General features: G+C 50.8%; 2 protein-coding genes across 35 annotated transcripts in view; both read left to right on the top strand.

Moving 5' to 3' along the window:
* The window catches only part of SLC25A23 (solute carrier family 25 member 23), a 23,712-nt gene extending 9,791 nt beyond the window's left edge, over window positions 1-13,921 (top strand). For 6 of the 31 annotated variants that reach the window (XM_017027287.3, XM_017027286.3, XM_011528275.3 and 3 more), the window contains 5 exons: window positions 5,701-5,851; window positions 7,843-8,023; window positions 11,181-11,278; window positions 11,468-11,555; window positions 13,538-13,921. In XM_017027287.3, the coding sequence (XP_016882776.1) occupies window positions 5,701-5,851; window positions 7,843-8,023; window positions 11,181-11,278; window positions 11,468-11,555; window positions 13,538-13,682 (663 nt within the window). In that variant the 3' untranslated portion in view covers window positions 13,683-13,921. Of the gene's footprint in view, window positions 1-5,700; window positions 5,852-7,842; window positions 9,939-11,180; window positions 11,279-11,467; window positions 11,556-11,689; window positions 11,812-13,533 lie in introns of those variants that run through there. The other 25 variants (XM_047439413.1, XM_017027292.3, XM_047439408.1 and 22 more) reach the window with 10 other exon arrangements.
* SLC25A41 (solute carrier family 25 member 41) lies at window positions 13,735-23,965 on the top strand. Of its 4 annotated transcripts, none has more exons than NR_135612.2 (8): window positions 16,239-16,515; window positions 17,798-17,953; window positions 19,841-19,993; window positions 20,171-20,278; window positions 22,501-22,668; window positions 22,752-22,899; window positions 23,441-23,700; window positions 23,847-23,965. NR_135612.2 is itself a non-coding variant. In NM_001321298.2 (8 exons), exons 4-8 carry the CDS (start codon window positions 19,892-19,894, stop codon window positions 23,611-23,613), a joined length of 699 nt encoding a protein of 232 aa, NP_001308227.1. In that variant the 5' UTR covers window positions 16,239-16,515; window positions 17,798-17,953; window positions 19,384-19,481; window positions 19,841-19,891; the 3' UTR covers window positions 23,614-23,965. The 4 variants fall into 4 exon arrangements, 3 of the variants coding, with proteins under 3 accessions (XP_011526228.1, NP_001308227.1, NP_775908.2); NM_001321298.2 differs by adding an exon at window positions 19,384-19,481 and having other exon boundaries at window positions 23,441-23,965; XM_011527926.1 differs by lacking the exon at window positions 16,239-16,515 and adding an exon at window positions 13,735-13,821 and having other exon boundaries at window positions 23,441-23,965.

The raw sequence follows: 23,965 nt of genomic DNA, 5'->3' as shown, positions 1-23,965 counted from the left end.
CCTATAATCCCAGCTACTCAGGAGTCTGAGGTAGGAGAATCGCTTGAACCCAGGGCGGGGCATGGGGGTTGCAGTGAGCCGAGTTCTTGCACTGCACAGGTGACAGAGTGAAACTCCATCTCAAAAAAAAAAAAAAAAAAAAAAGAGTTGTGAGTAGAAATAAGATGCGGCCAGGAGCAGTGGCTTGTGCCTGTAATCCCAGCACTTTGGGAGGCCGAGGTGGGAGGATTGCTTGAGCCCAGGAGTTCGAGACCAGTCTCTATAAAACAATTTAAAAATTAGCCAGGTGGCCAGGCACGGTGGCTCACGCTTGTAATCCCAGCACTTTGGGAGGCCGAGGCGGGTGGATCACAAGGTCAAGAGATCGAGACCATCCTGGCCAACATGGTGAAACCCCATCTCTACTAAAAATACAAAAAATTAGCCAGGCATGGTGGCGGGCACCTGTAATCCCAGCTGCTTGGGAGGCTGAGGCAGGAGAATGGCATGAACCTGGGAAGCGGAGCTTGCAGTGAGCTGAGATCGTGCCACTGCACTCCAGCCTGGGTGACAGAGCAAGACTCTGTCTCAAAAAAAAAAAAAATAGCCAGGTGTGGTGGTGCACACCTGTAGTGCCAGCTACTCAGGAGGCTGAGATGGGAGAATTGCTTGAGCCCAGTACGCAGAGGTTTCAGTGAGCTGTGATCATGCCAATGCACTCCAGCTTCAGCAACAGAGCAAGATCCTGTCTCAAAAAAAAAAAAAAAGAAAGAAAGAAAGACAGAAAGAAGACACAGTCTTATTATTTAATGCATTCTTTACCCAAAAAGGGACTTTAAAAGTCTAAGAGGTTTTAGAAACCTTGGAGTTTCAAAATCTGTGTTTGTCCCTTAAAGGCTCCGAGAAGTCTCTCAGTAAAGTGATTTAACTTTTTTTGTTTTTAACCCAGTGCTGGCCACATTAATCTAGTCTTTAGAACTTTTTTTTTTCTTTTTTTTTGAGACAGAGTCTCACTCTGTCACCCAGGCTGGAGTGCAGTGGTGTGATCTCAGCTCACTCCAACCTCTGCCTCCCAGATTCAAGCAATTCTCCTGCCTCAGCCTGCCGAGTAGCTGGGATTACAGGTGTGCGCCACCACGCCAGGCTAATTTTTGTATTTTTAGTAGAGACGGGGTTTCACTATGTTGGCCAGGCTGGTCTTGAACTCCTGACGTCAAGTGATCCGACCACCTCGGCCTCCCAAAATGCTGGAATTGCCAGGTGCAGTGGCTCACACCTGTAATCCCAGCACTTTGGGAGGCTGAGGGGGGTGGATCACAAGATCAAGAGATCAAGACCATCCTGGCCAACATGGTGAAACCCCATTTCTACTAAAAATACAAAAAATAGCTGGGCGTGGTGGTGGGCACCTGTAATCCCAGCTACTCGGGAGGCTGAGACAGGAGAATCGCTTGAACCCAGGAGGCGGAGTTTGCTGTGAGCCAAGATCGCGCCACTGCCCTCCACCCTGGGTGAGAGAGCGAGATTTCATCTCAAAAAAAAAAAAAAATGCTGGGATTACAGGCATGAGCCACCACACCCGGCCGTCTTTAGAACTTCTTTTCAACAGATTGATCTTAATAATAACCCATTAAACATCTATTTGGCAAGTGCTGTTCTAGACCCAAAAGAAGGCTTCTAAAATTTCAAAGGCAATAATGTTAAGTACTTGCCTATTTTACCCAGTCTGTGCCTGGGCTAGGCATTACTAATCCATCACAGCACTGAGTCCTGCTCAACACAATTCCAGTTTCAGGCAGCAATTTCTGGTGGATTAGAATTGGCATAGGAAATGAAACCTATAAGCCTCTCCCAGCCGCAAAGCAAAGAAGGTCTTGTTCTTACAGTCACCTTGGCAGAAGGCTTCAGAAGGGATTAGCCACCCTAAAGTCTTCAGGTGCACAGTTCTAGATTCACATACAGCTGTGAATGTTGGTTCTCACCTTTATTTTGTAGCTTTGGGCAAGTAACTTCCCGAGCCTCAGTTTCTTTTCTATAAAATAGAGATAATAGGGCCGGGCATGGTGGCTCACTCCTGTAATCCCAGCACTTTGGGAGGGAGAGGCAGGCAGATCACTTGAGGTCAGGAGTTGGAGACCAGCCTGGCCAACATGGTTAAACCCTGTCTTTACTAAAAATACAAAAATCAGCCGGGTGTGATTGTGTGTGCCTGCAATCCCAGCTACCTGGGAGGCTAAGACAGGAGAATTTCTTGAACCCGGGAGGTGGAGGTTGCAGTGAGCTGAGATTGTGCCGCTGCACTCCAGCCTGGGCGACAGAACGAGACTCCGTCTCAAAAAAAAAGCAAAAAATTAGCCAAGCCTGGTGGCACATGCCTGTAATCCCGGTGGCATAAGCCTGTAATCCCAGCTACACAGGAGGCTGATGCAGGAGAATCACTTGAACCTGGGAGGTGGGGTTGCAGTGAGCCGAGATGGTGCCATTGCACTCCAACCCAGGCGACAGGGTGAGACTGTGTCTCAAAAAATAATAATAAAATAAAAATAAAGATAATTAGCCGGGTGTGGTGGTGCACAGCTGTAATCCTGGCTACTCCAGAGGTTGAAGTAGGGAGGATCACCTGAGCCCAGGAGGCGGAGGTTGCAGTGAGCCGAGATTTCACCACTGCACTCCAGCCTGGGTGTGAGAGCGAGACCCTGTCTCAATAATAATAATAATAGTTTTGGTCTTAGTTTGAGATCCTTCCAAAACAGACCCTGAAACTGGGACGTGAGGACAAGTGATTTATTGGGGAGGTAATGAGACAGGGAGTCAATGCACACAGTATGAGTATGTTAGTTTCCTAGGACTGCTGTAACAAAGTATCACAAACTGGTTGGCTTAAAACAACAGAAAGTTATTGTCTCACAGTTCCAGAGGCCAGAAGTGCAAAATCAAGGTGTCAGCAGAGCCATACTCCCTCTCAAACTTGTTAGGGGAGAATCCTTCCTTCCTTCCTTCTTTCAGTTTCTGCTTGTTCCCAGCAACCCTGGACATTCTTTGGCTTGTAGATACATTCACTCAAATCTCTGCCTCCGCTGTCACCTGGCTGTCTTTCTCCGTGTGTGTCTCTGTCTTTCTCCTCTACGGACACCAGTCATACTGGACTAAGGGTCTACCCTGTTACCCTACTCATCTTAACTAATTAGATCTGCAAAGACCCTATTTCCAAAGAATGTCACCTTCTAAGATACTGGGGGTTAGGACATCAACATGTTCCCCCCCAAAGGAGGGACATGATTCAACCCGTAACAGTATGTTATCAAGCAAGTTACTATTCCTAGCAAATGGAGTTCCAGCCCTCTAGAGATCTGTGGGAGGCAGCATAAGACATGCTGCACCAGAGAGATGAGGGAGCTGGGGTATTGATCCACCAGGTCAGTCTTTTGAAGGTTGCATCTGGAGATGCTAATTTCCCAGGGCTTTCTGCCCATTCCTAAGTGGTCAGAGCCGGCTGGCCTGCGTTCAGAGAAAGTCCACAAGCAAAGTCTTTGGGTAAATGTTGGCAGTAAGAAGTCAGCAGGTCTGAATTGGAGTGGGAAGGGATGAAGGTGGTGTACTCACAGCATCTACCACAGGCAGTGTCGTTGGAGAGTGTTTTTTTGTTCATTTGTTTGTTTTTGAGACAGTCTTGCTCTTATTGCCCAGGCTGGAGTGCAGTGGTGTGATCTTGCCTCGCTGCAACCTCCGCCTCCCCGGTTCAGGCGATTCTCCTGCCTCAGCTTCCTGAGTAGCTGGGATTACAGGTGCCTGCCACCACACCGGCTAATTTTGGTATTTTTAGTAGAGATGGAGTTTCGCCATATTGGCCAGGCTGGTCTCGAACTCCTGACCTCAAGTGATCCACCCATCTCAGCCTCCCAAAGCACTGGGATTACCAGTGTGAGGACGCCAGGCCCGACCTTTTTTCTTTTTGATACTGAGTCTCACTCTTGTCGCCCAGGCTGGAGTGCATCACGGCTCACTACAGCCTTGAATTCCTGGGTTCAAGCAATCCTCCCACTTCAGCCTCTTGAGTAGCTGGGACCACAGGCATGCACCATCACATCCAGTTTTTTTTTGTTTGTTTGTTTGTTTGTGTGTTTGTTTGTTTTTGTAGAGACAGAGTCTTGCTATGTTTCCGAGGCTGGTCTCAGGCTCCTGGGCTCAAACGATCCTCTTGCCTCGGCCTCCCAAAGTGCTGGGATTACAGGCGTGAGTCACCATGCCTGGCCTTTTGTTGCTGTTGCTGTTTTTAATTTATTCTTTACCCTTCTTGCAAGCAAACAAGTTATAAACTTAGTGTCTTAGAACAACACGAATGTATATCCTTACAGTTCTGGAGGTCAGAAATCCAAAATGGGGTTCTTACTGGGCTTTATAAAATCGAGATGTTGGCAGGGCTGCGTTCCTTCTGGATGCTCCAGGAGGAAATCTGTTTCGTTGCCTTGAAAAAGCTTCTAGAGGCCGCCTGCACTCCTTGGCTTGTGGTCCCTTCTTCCATCTTCAAAGCCAGTAGCATAGCATCTTCCAATCTCTCTCTCGCTTCTGCTTCTGTCTTTACACCTACTTTTCTAACTCTTAGAAGGGCCCTTGTGCCGGGCATGGTGACTCATGCTTGTAATCCCAGCACTTTGGGAGACCGAGGCAGGTGGATCACCTGAAGTCAGGAGTTTGAGACCACTCTGGCCAACATGGTGAAACCCCATCTCTACTAATAATACAAAAATTAGCTGGGCGTGATGGCACACGCTTGTAATCCTAGCTACTTCGAGGCTGAGGCAGGAGAATCGCTTGAAGCCAGGAGGCGGAGGTTGCAGTCAGCCGAGATTGCACCATTGCACTCCTGCCTGGGCAACGAGAACGAAACTCCGTCTCTGAAAAAAAAAAGAAGGGGCCTTGTGCCAGGCATGGTGGCTCATGCCTGTAATCCCAGCACTTTGGGAGGCCGAGGGGGAAGGATCGCTTGAGCCCAGGAGTTCGAGACCAGCCTGAGCAACATAGTGACACTCCATCTCTGTAAAAAGAAAAATAATTAGGCCAGGTACTGTGGCTCATTCCTGTAATCCCAGCACTTTGAGAGGCTGAGGCAGGCGGATCACAAGGTCAGGAGATTGAGACCATCCTGGCCAGCACGGTGAAACCCTGTCTCTACTAAAAATACAAAAAATTAGCCAGGTGTGGTGGCACGCACCTGTATTCCCAGCTACCCGGGAGGCTGAGGCAAGAGAATCGCTTGAACCAGGGAGGTGGAGATTGCAGTGAGCCAAGATCACACCACTGCACTCCAGCCTGGGCAACAGAGCAAGACTTCATCTCAAAATAATAATAATAATAATTTTTAAAAAAAGAAGGACCCTTGTGATGGCATTGGGCCACTCAGATAATCCAAAATAATCTCATCTCAAGATCCTTAACTGAATCCCATCTGCAAAGTCCTTTGTGTCATCTTGGGTAACATATGCAGAGGTTCCAGAGATTAGGGCATAGTCAGTACAGGGGACCCTTATTCCACCTACCAGAGAGGGTCCAGATGAGGACTGGGTGAGGGGACGCAGGGAAAGGGCTGGCCCGGCCCCTAGGAGGTACCAAGTGCTCAGCTAGTAGCACCTGTCATGGGATACAGAACCGGCCAGCAGGCCTTTGAAGCCAGGGTCCTAGGGTCACCCACCCCAACCCTCCCTACTCCCTTCTCCACTCCAGACTCTGAAGAACTGGTGGCTTCAGCAGTACAGCCACGACTCGGCAGACCCAGGCATCCTCGTGCTCCTGGCCTGCGGTACCATATCCAGCACCTGCGGCCAGATAGCCAGTTACCCGCTGGCCCTGGTCCGGACCCGCATGCAGGCACAAGGTGAGGCCTGGGCGGGAGGATGGGGCAGGGGGAGTCTCATCGCTTGGGCCCCAGCTTCTCCCAAGTAGAGCCCTGGGCTGGGACCCTCCTGGATTTCGATGGGCTTCTCTGGGCCTCCGTTTCCCCATTTGTGACATTGAAATGGGAGTCCTTTACTTTCATGGAGCTGAGGATTAACTAGGATAACAGGTGCAGTGGGTACAGGAAGAGATCCCTTGCAGACTTAGCTGGGATGTCGTTGCTGGCAAATGTCTAGCATTTCCAGGCTGGTAACTTGAACTCTTAATTTGTAAGCCTGGGTTATCGTGAGCGGGAGGCTAGGAACAGGGGTAGGGAGCAGTCAGGGCCAGAGTGGTTATTGTTTTTGTCTGTATTTTTCTTTTATGAATTATTTCCCCCCGTCCCCTCCACCACTACCCTCCCATTCTCCCTGAATCTGTTTTGAGAATTTTCTTGAGAATTTTAGTGTTTGTGTTTTGTGATTTTCACTGGAGATGTGTCAGTGTACAAGACGGACACGGTCCCCACCCTCATAGAGCTCACAGGCCGGAGAGGAAGGAAGATGCTAAATAAATCATTCTGGAATTAAGTATTGATTTAGGGTTGTATAAAGGGGAGAAGGAGGCCGGGCACAGTGGCTCACATCTGTAATCCCAGCACTTTAGGAGGCCAAAGAGGAAGGATCATTTGAGTCCAGGAGTTTGAGACCAGCCCGGGCAACATAGCAAGACCCCATCTTTTTTTAAAAAATGAAGAAATAAATTAGCCAGGCGTGGTGGCAGGTGCCTGTAGTCCAAACTACTTGGGAGGCTGAGGCCGGAGGATCACTTGAGGCTGCAGTGAGCTATGATTATGCCACCACACTCCAGCCTGGGTGACAGAGTGAGACCCTGTCTCAAAAAAGTGGGTGGGAGCCAGGGGTAGTGGCTCACGCCTGCCATCCCAGCACCTTGGGAGGCCTAGGTGGGTGGATCACCTGAGGTCAGGAGTTCGAGACTAGCCTGACCAACATGGCTAAATCCTGTCTCTACTGAAAATACAAAAATTAGCCGGGTGTGATAGCAGGCGCCTGTAATCTTAGCTACTCGAGAGGCTGAGGCAGGAGAATCACTTGAACCCAGCAGGCATAGGTTGCAGTAAGCCAAGTTCGTGCCATCGCACTCCAGCCTGGGCAACAGGAGTGAAAACTCTGTCTCAAAAAAAAAAAAAAAAAAAAGGGCTGGGCATGGTGGCACACGCCTGTAATCCCAGCACTTTGGGAGGCCGAGGTGGGCGGATCACCTGAGGTTAAGAGTTCAAGGGCCGGGTGTGGTGGTTCACGCCTGTAATCCCAGCACTTTGGGAGGCCGAGGCGGATGGATCACCTGAGGTTGGGAGTTGGAGACCAGCCTGACCAACATGGAGAAACCCCGTCTCTACTATAAATACAAAAAAATTAGCCGGGCAAGGTGGCGCATGCCTGTAATCCCGGCTACTTGGCAGGCTGAGGCAGGAGAATTGCTTGAACCCGGGAGGCGGAGGTTGCAGTGAGCCGAGATTGCACCATTGCACTCCAGCCTGGGCAACAAGAGCGAAACTCCGTCTAAAAAACAAAAAGTGGGTGGAGGGCAGGGAGGAGCCTGACTTAGACTGGAGCACCAAGGAGGAGTCCCCTGGGGAGCTGGCTCTGGGATAGGGGTTGGGAATATGAGTAGGAGTCAGCTGGGAAAGGAGGGAGGGAACCTGGCTCCAGGAGGAGGACATTTCTGTCCTTTCTCACCTTGCACACCCATACCTGCTCCATTTCTAATTGTCCCCAAACTTGGGGCGAAAAGGTGAGCAGCCAGTTCCAAGGTCAATACAAGTCTCGACTCTGAGTGGTAGGTCCCACTGTTAGTCTAACCTCCTTCCCTCCTGCTGCAATGACACCACCTGGCCCAACCCTGGGGGTAGGAGGGGGAAGTGAAAGGGGAACGTTGGCCTTACCTGGTGCCCCCCCCGCCCCCTCCCAGCCTCCATCGAGGGTGGCCCCCAGCTGTCCATGCTGGGTCTGCTACGTCACATCCTGTCCCAGGAGGGCATGCGGGGCCTCTACCGGGGGATCGCCCCCAACTTCATGAAGGTTATTCCAGCTGTGAGCATCTCCTATGTGGTCTACGAGAACATGAAGCAGGCCTTGGGGGTCACGTCCAGGTGAGGGACCCGGAGCCCGTCCCCCCAATCCCTCACCCCCCACACCTCAGCCACTGGAGACTGATGATCCAACCACAGGATCCCTACTCTTTGGCCACGAGATCCCAGTACCCAGATCCTGGATCCTAGACTCCTATGCCCCAACCATTGGGTCATGGGATCCCAGCATCCAGATCCTGGATCCTAGACTCCTATGCCCCAACCACTGGGTCATGCGATCCCCACCCTTCAGCCACTAGATCCCAGATCCCCCTGTAACCATAACTGTGGATCCCTTACTTCAGCAACTCAAGTCTGCTACCCTAACCACAAGATTCAAGATTATCCACACCCCAGCCCTTAATCCCCATCCCCCAAATCACTGGATCCTGCAGCCCCACATCCTAAGGTGGATCCCACGCTTCCCTGTGCCCCCTACTGGATCCTGGACCTCTACGTCTTAACCACTGGATCCCACACAAATCAGTGAATGGATCCCAACACCCCAACCACAGGAGCACGGATTCCCTGTACCTCAACACCCAGACCCTGCCTCCCTCAGGCACCAGATCCAGTGTCCTAGTGAAACGCTGGATCCTAGATCCCCAACCCCAGATCCCCATGCCTCGAGCCCTGGATCTCCAAGCTCAGCTGCTGGATTCTGGATGTCAACAAACCTCACCACTGGATCCTGACAACCACAATGCCTGGATCCTGGGGCCCCCATCACTGGATCCCAGATCCCCTCACTCCACCCACTGGATTCCTGCATTGGTTTTTGGTTTTTTGTTTTTTTTTAACCTCGACACTGGGTCTCAGATCCTTCTGCTGACTGCCAGATCCCTGCATTTCAAGCACTACGCCTTCCACCCCCAGGCACTGGATCCCAGATTCCCAAGCCTTCACCCACCAGATTCTGGCTCCTAAAACAAGTGCGGGGGCCCCAGTGGCACAGCAAGTGGATCCTGGCAACTGCAGCTGCTGGATTCCAGATTCTGGGTCCCCAATCCCTCTGCCCAGTCCCTCAATGTTGAAACCTCATCTCTTGAAGGCAGATCCTGATATTCCAAGGCACTGAATCCCAAGCCCTGAATCCCCGGTTTCTGATCTGAATCTTCCAGGCGCCGGGTCCCAAATGTTCAGGCCCCAAGTCTAGATCCTGGCAGCCCAGTCACAGAGTATCCCACACACACTGGTGCCCAGAGCCGGCTTCTCATGACATGAAATTGCATGGTCGAGGGAGTCTGTGGGGAAGGAAGCCCAGGTCCTGGCTGCAACCTGCACGGATGCTGGATTCCCCCTCACCCCACCTCTGCATGGCCACCCCCTCCCAGCCCTGTGGGGAAACTGTTCCCTGGAACCACTCCACTCCCTGCATCCCCACACTTCACAGCATCTTCCATCCCCCTCCCACCTTCTAGGCGAATAGTCCCCAGAGCTGTGTTCCTCCAAGGGGTCCGAGGAATCACTCACTCCTGGAGGCTGGCAAGGAGACAGTCTGAGGCCAGGGACACATGAAGGGATGTCCCCACCCCAGCACTATCAGGGCCTCCCCAGGCTTCCAGAGTTGAAAGCCAGGAGAAAATCGGCAAAGACCACCCTTCCCTAAACCCAAGCACCCAATGATGCAAAAAACAAAAACAAAAAAAAACCACCAAATCCCCAAATTCATTCCAGATCTATTTTTCTACCAGAGAGAGGAGCAAAGTCCTCCTCCCCTGCGCCCTTACATTCTGCACTTCATAGTTGGATTCTGAGCTTAGGATCATCTGGAGACCCCATGGAGGGACTTGGAAAGGGGAACTGGGATTTGGGGAGGGGCTGGAGGACTTCCGCACGCTTCCACCTCCTTCGACCTCCACTGCGCCCCACCTCCCTGCCTGTGTGTGTTATTTCAAAGGAAAAGAACAAAAGGAATAAATTTTCTAAGCTCTTTTATTGTGGTTTTTACTGAAAAGGGGGTGGGTGGCTATGGGACCACCTTAGTCTACCCCTAGGGAAGGGACAAGGGGCTGCTTCCCAACACCCACAGTTCCAAGAGCCAGGAAATGATTCCCTCTTTGAGCCTCAGTTTACACATCTATAAAATGGGAGCAGGGGAGGGAGTCCCTGTTTATAACCCCTTCTAAATTTTCTGGGCTTTATTATTTTTATTTATTTATTTATTTTTGAGATGGAGTCTCACTCTGTTGCCCAGGCTGGAGGGCAGTGGCACGGTCTCAGCTCACTGCAACCTCTGCCTCCCGGGTTCAAGCGATTCTCCTACCTCAGCCTCCTGAGTAGCTGGGATTACAGGCACCCACCACCACGCCCGGCTAATTTTTTGTATTTTTAGGAGAGACAGGGTTTTACCATGTTGGCCAGGCTGGTCTCGAACTCCTGACCTCAAGTGATCCACCTGCCTCAGCCTCCCAAAATGCTGGGATTACAGGCGTGAGCCACCACGCCCGGCCTCTGTATTTTTTTTCAAATTACAAATTTCAATTTTTTTTCAAATTATCCTTTTCCTAGGGCTGCCAGACCAAATTATCACAAACAGAATGGCTTAAAACAATTTGTGTGTCTGTGTGTGTGTGTGTGTGTGTGTGTGTGTGTGTGTGAGAGAGAGAGAGAGATAGGATCTCACTCTGCAGCCCAGGTTAGAGGGTAGTGGTACAATCGTACCTGACTGCAGCCTCGAATTCCTGTGCTCAAGCGATCCTCCCACCACAGCCTCCTGAGTATCTGGGACCACAGGGACCGCAGGCACACGCACCGTTATGTCCAGCTAATTTATTTTTGAGACAGGGTCTCGCTCTGTCACCCAGGCTGGAGTGCAGTGGTGCGATCTCGGCTCACTGCAGCTTACACCTCCTGGGCTCAAGTGATCCTCCCACCTCAGCCTCCCAAGTAGCTAGGACTATAGGCAACCACCACCATGCCCAACTTTTTGTTTGTTTCTGTGCTTGCTTGTTTGTTTGTGATGCAGTCTCGCTCTGTCGCCCAGGCTGTAGTGCAGTGACACGATCTCGGCTCACTGCCACCTCTGCCTCCCAGGTTCAAGCAATTCTCCCACCTCAGCCTCCCGAGCAGCTAGAACCACAGGCATATGCCACCATGCCTGGCTAATTTCTTGTTTGGTTGGTTGGTTTTTTGTTTTTGTTTTTTTTGATATAGGAGTCTTGCTCTTGTTTCCCAGGCTGGAGTACAGTGGCTCGATTTCAGATCACTGCAACCTCTGCCTTCCAGGTTCAAGCGATTCTCCTGCCTCAGCCTCCAGAGTAGCTGGTATTACAGGTGCGCACCACCACACCCGGCTAATTTTTGTATTTTTAGTAGAGACCAGGTATTCCCGTGTTGGCCAGGCTGGTCTCGAACTCCTGACCTCAGGTGATTTGCCTACCTCAGCCTCCCAAAGTGCTGGGATTACAGGTGTGAGCCACCGTGCCTGGCCTAATTATTATTACTTCTTTTTTGTGGAAATAGGATTTCATCATGTTGCCCAGGCTCATCTCGAACTCGTGGGGTCAAGGAATTCGCCAGCCTTCAGCCTCCCAACGTGCTGGGATTACAGGTGTGAGCCACATGGTCCTTGGTGTTCCTTGGTTTATGATAGACTCATCACTCCACTGCCTGCCTATCTTCATACTGTATGCTCCCTTATGTGTGTCTGTGTCTCTCTGCCCAAATTTCCATCCTTTTTTTCAGATGCAGTTTCGCTCTGTTTCCCAGGCTGGAGTGCAATGACGTGATCTCAGCTCACTGCAACCTCCGCTTCCCGGGTTCAAGTGATCCTCCTGCCTCAGCCTCCAGAATAGCTGGGATTACAGGTGCACACCACCACAACTGGCTAATTTTTGCATTTTTAGTAGAGACGGGGTTTCACTATGCTGGTCTTGAACTCCTGACCTCAAGTGATCCACCCGCCTCGGCCTCCCAAAGTGCAAATTCCAAGTTTGTTTTTTTTTTTTTTTTTGGAGTGCAGTGGCACGATCTCGGCTCACTGCAAGCTCCGCCTCCCGGGTTCATGCCATTCTCTTGCCTCAGCCTCCCAAGTAGCTGGGACTACAGGCACCCGCCACCACAGCCAGCTAATTTTTTTTTTTTTTTGTATTTTTAGTAGAGATGGGGTTTCACCATGTTAGCCAGGATGCCTCCCAAAGTGCTGGGATTATAGGCATGAGCCACCGCGCCCGGCCTTTTTTTTTTTCTGAGATGGAGTCTTGCTCTGTCGCCTAGGCTGGAGTGCACTGGCGCGATCTTGGCTCACTGCAAGCTCCGCCTCCTGGGTTCATGCCATTCTCCTGCCTCAGCCTCCCAAGTAGCTGGGACTACAGGCACCCGCCACCATGCCCAGCTAATTTTTTGTATTTTTAGTAGAGACGGGGTTTCACCATGTTAGCCAGGATGGTCTTGAACTCCTGACCTCGTGATCCGCCTGCCTCAGCCTCCCAAAGTGTTGGGATTACAGGCGTGAGCCACTGCGCCTGGCCGATTCCATGTCTTGTAAGGACAGCAGTCATCGGATTAGGGCAACCCCCCCCAATCCAGTGTAACCTCATTTTAATTTGATTATATCTACAAAGACCGTATTTCCAAATAAGGTCACATTTGCAGGTTACTGGGGTTAGGGCTTGAACACATCTTTTTGGGGGACAAAGTTCAACCCACAATGAGTAATTCAAATTTATTGTGGAAAAAATAGAAAATTCAGGGTGGGTGGGGTAGCTCATATCTGTAAACCCAGCACTTTGGGAGGTCGGGGTGGGAGGATCGCTTGAGGCCAGGAGTTTGAGACCAGCCTGGGCAACACAGTGAGACCCCATTTCTACAAAAAATTTTTCAATTAGCTGGGCATGATGGCATATACCTGTAGTTCCAGCTGCTCAGGAGGCTGAGATGGGAGGATGACTTGAGCTCAGGAGTTCAAGGTCACTTGAGCCCAGGAGTTTGAGACCAGCCTGGCCAACATGGTGAAACCCCGTCTCTACTAAAAATACAAAAATTAGCCGGGCATGGTGTCACATGCCTGTGATCCCAGCTACTCGGAAGGCTGAGGCAGGACAATCACTTGAACCCAGGAGGTGGAGGTTGCAGTGAGCCAAGATTGGTCCATTGCACTCCAGCCTGGGTAACAGAGCAAGACTCCATCTCAAAAAATAAAAAAATAAAAGATTGGGTGCAGTGGCTCACGTCTATAATCCTAGCATTTTGGGAGGCCGAGGCGGGTGAATCACCTGAGGTCAGGAGTTCGAGACCAGCCTGGCCAACATGGCAACCCCGTCTCTACTAGAAGTACAAAAATTAGCCGGACGTGGTGGCGGGCACCTATAATCCCAGCTACTCAGGAGGCTGAGGCAGGAGAATTGCTTGAACCTGGGTGGCAGAGGTTGCAGTGAGTCGAGATTGTGCCACTGCACTCCAGCCTGGGCAACAAGAGCAAAACTATGTCTCAAAGAAAAAAAAAAAAAGACACTGTCGCTGCCATCCTGGTTATTGGTTACATGCTCTCTCTCTCTCTCTCCCCCTTTCTCATAACATTTGCTCTGGAGGAAGCCGGTGGTCATGCCATGAGCAGCCTTATGGAGAGGACCATGTGGTAAGGAACTCAGCCAATAGCCATGTAACTGAGCTTGGAAGAGGATCTTGCTGTCCTGGCCAACATCTCACTGCAATTCTATCAGTTGAATTCCCTGGATAGTCCAAGCTTTGTGGATCCCTCCACCGAAACAACTGGATCCCAGTACCTGAATCCTGAATCTTAGACTCTTATACTTCAAACACTGATCACGGGAACAGCCGGCTCAGCGGCTCCTGAGTTCCTAATGCTCAGAATATGGGTGAGATGATAAATGTTTGTTGTGTTAAGCTGCCAACCTTTGGCGGGGGGGTAATTCGTCACATGGCAACAGCTGGCTAATACATATATACCTACATGTATATGATTTTGTCAGGTTTTTTGTTTGTTTGTTTGTTTGGTTTCGGTTTTGGTTTTTGAAACAGGGTTTCACTCTGTCCCCTCCCCAGGCTGGAATGCAGGGGTGCAATCATGGCTCACTGCAGCTTCAAACTCCCAGGCTCAGGTGATGCTCCCATCTCAGCCTCCGGAGTAGCTGGGACCACAGGCACACACCACCATGCCTGACTACTTTTTTTGTTTTTTAGAGACTGGGTCTTACTCTGTCACCCAGGCTGGAGTGCAGTGGCACAATCATAGCTCACTGCAGCCTCTAATTCCTGTGCTCAAGGGAGCCTCCCCCTTCAGCCTCCCAAGTAGCTGGGACTACAGGTGCACATGACCACACCTGGCTAATTTTAAAAAATTTTTGTAGAAAAATTTCTTGCTTTGCTGCCCAGGCTGGTCTTGAACTCCTGGACTCAAGTGATCCTCCCGCCTCAGCCTCCTGAGTAGCTGGGATTACAGGTATGCACCACCACACCCAGCTAATTTTCGTTATTTTTAGTAGACACGGGGTTTTATCATGTTGGCCAGGCTGGTCTCAAACTCCTGACCTCAGGTGATCCACCTGCCTTGGCCTCCCAAAGTGCTAGAATTACAGGTGTGAGCCACCACGCCCAGCCAAAAATAATTTTTAAAACTTAGCCGGGCGTGGTGTCCGCACCTGTGTTCCTAGCCACTCGGGTGGCTGAAGTGGGAGAACCACCTGAACAGAGAGGTCAAGGGGATTGACCTTAAGTGTGCCACTATACTCCAGCCTGGGTGACAGAGTGAGACCATTTCCCATCAGCTGTTTAGCAACCTTAATTCTTTTTTTTTTTTTCTTTTTTTTTTTTTTGAGACAGGGTCTCGCTCTGTCACCCAGGCTGGAGTTCAGTGGCAAGATCTCAGCTCACTGCAGCCTCCACCTCCCAAGCTCAAGCAACCCTCCCACCTCAGCCTCCTGTGTAGCTGGGACCACAGGCATGGACCACCATGCCCAGCTAATTTTTGTATTTTTTATAGAGACAGGGGTCTGGCCATGTTGCCCAGGGTGGTCTTGAACTCCTGGGCTCAAGTGATCCACCTGCCTTGACCTCCCAAAGTGCTGCTATTATAGGAATGAGCCACGGCGCCCAGCCTAGCAAAGTTTTGTTGTTGTTGTTGTTTGTTTGAGATGGAGTCTCGCTCTGTTGCCCAGGCTGCAGTGCAATGGCTCAATCTCGGCCCACTGCAACCTCTGTCTCCTGGGTTCAAGCAATTCTCCTGTCTCAGCCTCCAGAGTAGCTGAGATTACAGGGGCACACCACCAAACCTGGCTAATTTTTGTATTTTTAGGAGAGACTGGGTTTCACTATGTTAGTCAGGCTGGTCTCGAACTCCTGACCTCAGATGATCTGCCAACCTCGGCCTCCCAAAGTGCTGGGATTACAGGCGTCAGCCACCACATCAGGCCTAGCAACCTTATTTGTATCTGCAAACTTAATTCCCCTTTGCCATGTAACAAATGTAAGTCAGCCCAGGCTGCTATAAGGAAACACTAAAGAGCGGGGTCTTAAACTGCAGACATTTATTTCTGGAGGCTGGGAAATCCAAGGTTAAGGTGGCTGGCTAGCTCAGTTCCTGCTGAGGGATTTCTTCCTGCCATGCCTTCTTGCTGCGTCCTCCCATGGCAGACAGAGAGAGAGAAAGAGCTCTGGTTTGTCTTTTCCTTATAGGGAACTAATTCCATCTTGCAGGGGCCATCCTCATGAGTTCATCTAACCCTGAGGACCTCCCAAAGGCCCTGTCTCCAAATTCCAACCCACTGGGAAATAGGGCTTCAACATAAGAATTTTGCGGCCGGAAGCAGTGGCTCACGCCTGTAATCCCAGCACTTTGGGAGGCTGAGGTGGGCAGATCATGAGGTCAGGAGATCGAGACCATCCTGGCTAACACGGTGAAACCCCGTCTCTACTAAAAAATAAAAAAATTAGCTGGGCGTGGTGGCGGATGCCTGTAGTCCCAGCTACTCGGGAGGCTGAGGCAGGAGAATGGTGTGAACCCCAGAGGCGGAGCTTGCAGTGAGCCAAGATAGCGCCACTGCACTCCAGCCTGGGAGACTGAGCGAGACTCCGTCTCAAAAAAAACGATAATAATAATAATTTTGACAGGACACAATTCAATTTATAACGATAACATATTTATTGGTTTGGGGGATCAGGAGGTGGATACTTGGGGGAAGGGGGCCATCACGCTGCCCACCACACCTAGGAAGGTCACAGGGGCGTTTGTGACTTCATCCTCCTCTTGGTCCCCCACACAATCCTCCCACTAGACACTCCCGCATGGTAGCTGGAGCAGCAAACAACTGCTTAGGGATTTGAAGCCAGGTGTCCTAACTTCCTCCATGGGCGCTCAGCCTGGGGAACCTCAGAACACTTGCTCTAGGATCCAGACACTGTTTAGGAGGGTCAAGACCTTACTCATCAAAGCCCCGCCTCCCCCCCAACCTCCGCCTCCACCCCCATCCTGGAACCCTGGCTGTACACACGTGTATGGGTACGCGTTTGGCCACATGCATGACAACAACCTTGAACATCTCCCGTCACAGCAGGTGAGTTTAGGAAACACCAGTGTCCCGGCACCTCTGGTCAGGACTACAGGGAGAGGCCAGGCTACCCACGCCCTCTACAGGCCCACTCCCCTGCTAGCGGACCTAGAATTCCACCTTGAAGCAGGGTGGGGCAGGGAGGCAGGGCGCGATGGCTCCACACATGTAATCCCAGCACTTTGGGAGGTTGAGGTGGATGGGTCACTTGAGGACAGGAGTTCAAGACCAACCTGGCCAACATGCCGAAACCCTATCTCTACTAAAATTACAAAACTTAGCCAGGCATGGTGGTTGGCGCCTGTAGTACCAGCTACTCAGGAGGCTGAGGCAGGAGAATCGCTTGAACTCAGGAGGTAGAGGTTGCAGTGAGCCCAGATCTCATCACTGCACTCAAGCCAGAGCAACACAGCGAGATTCTGTCTCAAAAAATAAGAATAAATTAAGAGTCTAGATATAGTCCTAATTACATTTGTATTCCTCCTTGGATCCTCCATGAGTAACTTAGAGAGTCTATATTACATTGGCTGGGTGTGGTGGCTCACACCTGTAATCCCAGCACTTTGGGAGGCTGAGGCAGGTGGATCACCTGAGGTCAGGAGTTCAAGACCAGCCTGGCCAACATGGTGAAACCCTGCCTCTATTAAAATAATACAAAAATTTGCTCGGCACGTTGGCACTGTAATCCCAGCTACTGGGGAGGCTGAGGCAAGAGAATCACTTGAACCCAGGAGGCGGAGGTTGCAGTGAGCCGAGATCACACCATTGTCCCTACTTGGGAAGCTGAGACACGAGAATCGCTTGAACCAGGGGGACAGCGGTTGCAGTGAGCCAAGATCGCACCACTGTACTCCAGCTTGGGCGATAGAGTGAGACTCTGTCTAAAAAAAAACAAAAACAAAACAAAAAAAAACCAGGGGGGAGGGTTGAATCACTTGAGGTCAGGAGTTAGAGACCAGCCTGGCCAACATAGTGAAACCCATCTCTACTAAAAAAAAAAAAAAAAAAAAAAAAAAAAATTAGGTGTTGTGGTGCATGCCTATAATCCCAGCTACTCAGGAGGCTGCGGCAGGAACTGCTTGAACCTGGGAGGTGGAGGTTGCAACGAGCTGAGATTGTGCCACTGCACTCTAACCTGGGCAGCAGAGCAAGACTCCGTCTCGAAAAAAAAAAATGCAGACTTGGGGGAACAGGGTGGGTCTTTCACCAGGTGGGTGCCCTAGATGTGTGTCTGGGGAAGGTGCCCCAACCTGGCTGAGGATGAGGGAGGGCCGGGTCTGCCCTGCAGGTACTGGACACAGGAGAGCAGCTGATGGTCCCCGTGGAAGTCCTGGAAGTGGATAACAAGGAGGCCTTGTGGAAGTTTCTACTCTCAGGAGCTATGGCCGGGGCGGTGTCTCGCACGGGCACGGCACCTCTGGACAGAGCCAAGGTGTACATGCAGGTTTGTGTGGGTTGGGGGGAGGACGGGACCCAGCGCTGGAGCCACTGGGGAGAACGTGGGGTGAGGACAGATGGAGTTGACGTGGATGGAGTTCAGGATAGGAGTGCTGGCTGGAGTTGGGCTCTCCTGGACTAGCTGAGATTGAGGTTGTGGATGGTGATAGAGCTGGTGTGGACATGGCTTGGAGTCGAGTTTGAGGAGTTGAGAGAACTTGCCAGGGACAGGGACCAACGCTGGGCCAAGGTGGGGGTTGGAGGTCAGGGAATTGGGGATGGGGTCTTTGGACGAGTTTAAAGACAAGGTAGGGGCCAGGTGCAGTGGCTCATGCCTCTAATGCCAGCACTTTGGGAGGCCCAGGGGAGGTAGATCATCTGGGGTCAGGAGTTTGAGACCAGCCTGGCCAACATGGCGAAACCCTGTCTCTACTAAAAATACAAAAAAATTAGTCGGGCATGGTGGTGCGTGCCTGTAGTCCCAGCTACATAGGAGGCTGAGGCAGGAGAATTGCTTGAACCCAGGAGATGGAGGTTGCAGTGAGCCGAGATTGCATCACTGCACTCCAGCCTGGGCAACAGAGTGAGACTCTGTCTCAAAAAAGAAAGAAAAAAAAAAAAGGCAACATAGAACTGGAGCTACCTCAAGCAGGATATCTCACACCCATAGTCTCAGCTGCTCAGGAGGCTGAGGCAGGAGGATTGCTTGAGCCCAGGAGTTGGAGGCTGCAGTGAGCCATGATCATGCCACAAACTCCAGCCTGGGTGACAGAGCGAGATCCCTGGCTGAAAAAATAAACGGGTGCAGTGGCTCACTTTGGGAGGCCAAGGAGGGAGGATTACTTGAGCTTAGGAGTTTGAGACCAGCTGGGCAATATAGTCAGACCACATCTCTACAAAATAATAATTAATTAATTAATTAATTAAAAATTTAAAAAGGAGTCGGGCATGGTGACTCACACCTGTAATCCCAGCACTTTGGGAGGCCAAAGTGGGAAGATCGCTTGAGCCCAAGAGTTTGAGACCAGCCTGGGCAACATAGTAAGACCCCATCTATACAAAAAATTTTACAAAATTAGCCTGCCATGGTAGCACGCACCTGTAGTCCCAGCTACTTGGAAGGCTGAGGTGGGAGGATCACTTGAGCCCAGGAGTTTGGGGCTGCAGTGAGCTGTGATTGCACCACTGCATTCCGGCCTGGGCAACAGAACAAGATCCTGTCTCGAAAACATAAACAAACAAAAAAACAAGAAAGAAAAGGAAAAGAAGGCCAGGCGCGGTGGCTGATGCCTGTAATCCCAGCAATTTGGGGGGCCAAGGTGGGCAGATCACCTGAGGTCAGGAGTTCCAGACCAGCCTGGCCAACATGGCAAACCCCCAGCTCTACTAAAAATACAAAAATAAGCCAGGCGTGGTGACACTAGCCTGTAATCCCAGCTACTCGGGAGGCTGAGGCAGGAGAATCGCCTGAACCTGGGAGGCGGAGGTTGCAGTGAGCCGAGATCCCCCGACCGCACTCCAGCCTGGGCGACAGAGTGAGACTCCGTCAAAAAAAAAAAAAAAGAAGGAAGGGAGGAACGGAGGAAGGGAGGGAGGGAGGGAACAAAAAGGGAGAAAGAAAGGAAAGGATGGAAGGAAGAAAGAGAGAGAGAAAAAGACTGAGGAGATGAAGAGGAGGGGTGAGGTGGGAATGTAGGTTGATGTTGGCTTTGGGTCAGGGTTGCATGCGATTCTAGAACTGGCCGGGGAAGGAGCTGAAGAAGGAATGGGGATGGGATGGGGATGGGTTGGGGTTGGGTGGCTTGGGAGGTCCCGGTGGGGCTGCGCTTGGGGCAGGGATGGGGACGGAGACAGAGGCGAGCAGGGGCTCCTCCAGGGTCCTCCCTCCACCCAGGTCTACTCCTCCAAGACGAACTTCACCAACCTGCTGGGGGGGCTACAGAGCATGGTCCAGGAGGGCGGCTTCCGCTCCCTGTGGCGGGGCAACGGCATCAACGTGCTCAAGATTGCTCCTGAGTATGCCATCAAGTTCTCCGTATTCGAGCAGGTGGGGAATGAGGGGCCTGCTTCCCCCAGCTCAAGCCCAAACCCCTCCCATGCCCCCAAAACTCCAGGCCCTTGTTCAAGCACACACTCACCCTCCAGACCCCAGGCCTCTTCCCTGCGCGGGTTTTGTGTCGGAGGGTGGCTGACTTCTCTCTCACCCTCCTCTCTCCTCTCCCAGTGCAAGAATTACTTCTGTGGAATACAAGGGTCCCCGCCCTTCCAGGAGCGTCTCCTTGCTGGCTCCCTGGCTGTGGCCATCTCCCAGACCCTCATCAACCCCATGGAGGTAAGAGAGCATGTGCCCCGCAGGTGAGGAAACGCCGTGGAAACTAGTTACCCACGTTGCTGGGGCTACTTCCTCTTCCTCCTTTCTCCCCTCCTCCTTTCTCCTCCTTTTTTCTCACACTTCTCCCTCCTCCCCGTTCACCTCTTCCTCCTCTGTCTCCCCTCCTCCTTTCTCCCTCCTCCTCTTTCCTCCTCCTTTCTCCTTCCTCCTCTCCTCCTCCTCCTTTCTCCCTCCTCCTCCCCTCCTCTTTCCTCTCCTCCTCCCCTCCTTTCTTCCTCCTCCTTCCCTCCTCCTTTCTCCCTTCTCCTCCCCTCTTCCTTTCTCCCTTCTCCTCCCCTCTTCCTTTCCTTTCTCCCTCCTCCTTTCTCCCTCCTCTCCCTCTTCCCCCTTTACCTCTTTCTCCTCCTCTCCAATCTCCTCCTCCTTTCTATAAATTTATATATGAATATATTATATATAACACATATACATATATATAACATTTTCATAAATTTATATATGTATATATTATATACAACATATATATTATATATATAACATATATATATTATATATATATTATATATATAATATATATATTATATATATATATAACATATATATAATATATATATTATATATATATGTAACATATATATAATATATATATTATATATATATATAACATATATATAATATATATATTATATATATATATATAAATTTTCAGGCCAGACACCTTGGCTCATGCCTGTAATCCCAACACTTTGGGAGACTGAGCTGGGAGGACTGCTTGCTTGAGCCCAGGAGTTTGAGACCAGCCTGGGCAATATAGCAAGACCCCATCTTTACTGAAAACAAAAATCAGCCAGGTGTGGTGGCGCATGCCTGTAGTCCCAGCTACTCAGGAGGCTGAGGTGGGAGGAGCACTTGAGCCCAGAAGGTCGAAGCTGCAGTGAGCTATGATGGGACACAACTGCACTCCAGCCTGGGTGATAGAGGGAGACCCTGTCTCAAAAAAAATATATATATATATATGTTTTATATATAATATACACATATATTATATACCTTACTTATTATGTAAATATATAGTACATATAACATGTATATATTATATATAACTAAATAATTTAATGTATCTAATTATATAATTACATTTATTATATACTATGTAATATAAAAATATGTCTATGCATGTTATATATAATATATGCATAATGTATAATAATACATATATAATATGTATATATACTATATATATGTATACATATATATTTTCATTTCTCATCTGTGGACCGGAAACCCTCCTTTTTTTCTTTCTTTTTCTTTTTTTTTTTTTTGAGAGTCTCACTCTGTCACCCAGGCTGGAGTGCAGTGGCACGATCTTGACTCACTGCTCACTGCGACCTCCACCTTCTGGGTTCAAGCGATTCTCCTGCTGGGATTACAGCTGCCTGCCACCACACCCAGCTAATTTTTGTATTTTTAGTAGAGACAGGGTTTCGCCATGTTGCCCAGGATGGTCTCAAACTCCTGACCTCAAGTGTTCCACCCACCTTGGCCTCCCAAAGTGCTGGGATTACAGGCATGAGCTACCGCACCCGACCTAGGGTTCACTCTTAATCTAACAGTTCTATGGGTTTTGAGGAATGTATAATGACTTGTATCCACCATTGTAGTATCTTACGGAGTAGTTTCACTGCCCTAGGAAGGCCCTGTTTTCTACCTATTCACTCTCTTTCTTTCCCCCCAGTGCTTGATCTTTTTGCCATAAAGTTTTGCCAGCTGTCTTCAATTTTTGAGGCTTGAGGGCATGTTTTCTCGCCTCCCTTCCCTGTTATTCTTAATCAGTTTTCCAGGCTGTTCTCCCATGTTGATGTTTCCATATACATCTTATTTTTATTTTATTGATTTTTTTGTAAAGATGGGGTCTCGCTATGTTGCCCAGGCTGGTCTCGAACTCCCGGCCTCAAGCGATCCTCCCGCCTCAGCCTCCCAAAGGGCTGGGAAGACAGACGTGAGCCTTCTTCCCTCACTCTCTTGGCCTTTGCCAGCATTTGTGCTTCAGAACTCAAAATTCAGAGAGCATTCCATGGAATCTGACAGATCCGGGTCTGAAACCCAGCTCTTTGCCTTCCTGAGCCTCATTTTCCTTGTTTGTAGGGTGGGGACAATGGCTACCCCGAGGGTCATTGACAGGATTCAATCAAATGAGCTGCCTTGTTCCCCGCCATCCTCAGGTGCTGAAGACGCGGTTGACCTTGCGTCGGACGGGCCAGTACAAGGGGCTGCTGGACTGCGCCAGGCAGATCTTGCAGCGAGAGGGCACCCGCGCCCTTTACCGCGGCTACCTGCCCAATATGCTCGGCATCATCCCCTATGCCTGCACCGACCTGGCTGTCTATGAGGTATGGGTCCTGCAGAGGGGGTGGCAGGGCTGGCCGGAGCCCAGGCTCCTAGTGAGCTTTCTCCTGGCCCCCTTCTCTTGCAGATGCTCCAGTGCTTCTGGGTGAAGTCAGGCAGGGATATGGGGGACCCCAGTGGCCTGGTCAGTCTGTCGTCTGTGACGCTATCCACGACCTGTGGCCAGATGGCCAGCTACCCACTGACTCTGGTGCGCACCAGGATGCAGGCCCAAGGTCAGCCTGTCCCCAGCGGCCACCACGCATGCCCCTTCCCCGCCCCACCCTGGCTGTCTCAATTTTCTCATACCCCAAAACTGAGTCCGGCACCCTCCGTGTCTGATCCCAGCCCACTTTTGATAACTTTTGAGACTGCGTCTCAAAAATATATATATAAAAATTAGCCAGGCATGGTAGTATGGACCTGTGGTCCCAGCTACTTGGGAGGCTGAGGCTGGAGGATCCCTTGAGTTCTGGAGGTCGAGGCTGCAGTGAGCTATGATCGTGCCTCCACACTCCAGCCTGCGCAACAGAGAGAGACCCTATCCCCACTCCCACCCCTCAAGAAAATTTCCTAAAATTAATCCTGATAACTACTACTCAGAAACTCCCCCACTCCTCCTCAAACTGACCAATTTCCTCTAAGACTCTTCAAACTGTTTTCCTACTGACCCCTGGGGCCCCTACCCGTGGCTTCAGCACCTGTCCGCAACATTCCAGACTCCTAGGAGGCCCGGTCATCTCTGGCCTAGTCCTGATCTTGCCTGTGTCCCTGCAGATACCGTGGAGGGCTCAAATCCCACCATGCGCGGAGTCCTCCAGCGGATCCTGGCCCAGCAGGGCTGGCTAGGGCTGTACCGAGGCATGACCCCCACGCTACTGAAGGTCTTACCAGCAGGTGGCATCAGCTATGTGGTGTACGAAGCCATGAAGAAAACCCTGGGCATATAGGCTGTGAGCTGGACGACACAGCCTAGGCAGAAATGGGACAGGAGGACCTGATGACCCCTGGCCCCAAAGAGCCCTCGAGGCCTCAAGGTTCAGGCCCTGGGGCAGTTTTTGGTGGCAAAAGCAGGCTGGGGGTGGGGGTGGGGCTCTGGGTCAGAAGATTCCTGAAGCTGGGGTTGGTGGTGGGTGGAGGGGGGCAGTGCTGGGTCAGAAAACTCCTGGGACTCCCTCCCCAGGGTGCAGCCTGAGACAAGAAACGTGGACTCCAGTCTGGCCCCTTGTGGGTCGTCCTGGCTCCAGGGCGAAATGGTGAACATGTCACACAACAAGGAATAAAGAGATGGTTTTTGCTGAA

This window comes from Homo sapiens, chromosome 19, assembly GCF_000001405.40.
Source record: "Homo sapiens chromosome 19, GRCh38.p14 Primary Assembly".
In the NCBI taxonomy this organism is placed as follows: domain Eukaryota; kingdom Metazoa; phylum Chordata; class Mammalia; order Primates; family Hominidae; genus Homo; species Homo sapiens.
The sequence above is the reverse complement of the archived record's forward strand: the minus strand, read 5'-3'. Positions and strand labels throughout refer to the sequence as shown.

Bases quoted from the DNA above. Each gene is read 5' to 3' on its own strand.
- SLC25A41 (NM_173637.4), top strand. From the start codon at position 16,309: ATGGGCGCTCAGCCTGGGGAACCTCAGAACACTTGCTCTAGGATCCAG. The intron at 19,994-20,170 runs GTGGGGAATGAG...CTCCTCTCCCAG, and splicing joins AGTTCTCCGTATTCGAGCAG to TGCAAGAATTACTTCTGTGG. The intron at 22,900-23,440 runs GTCAGCCTGTCC...GTGTCCCTGCAG, and splicing joins CACCAGGATGCAGGCCCAAG to ATACCGTGGAGGGCTCAAAT.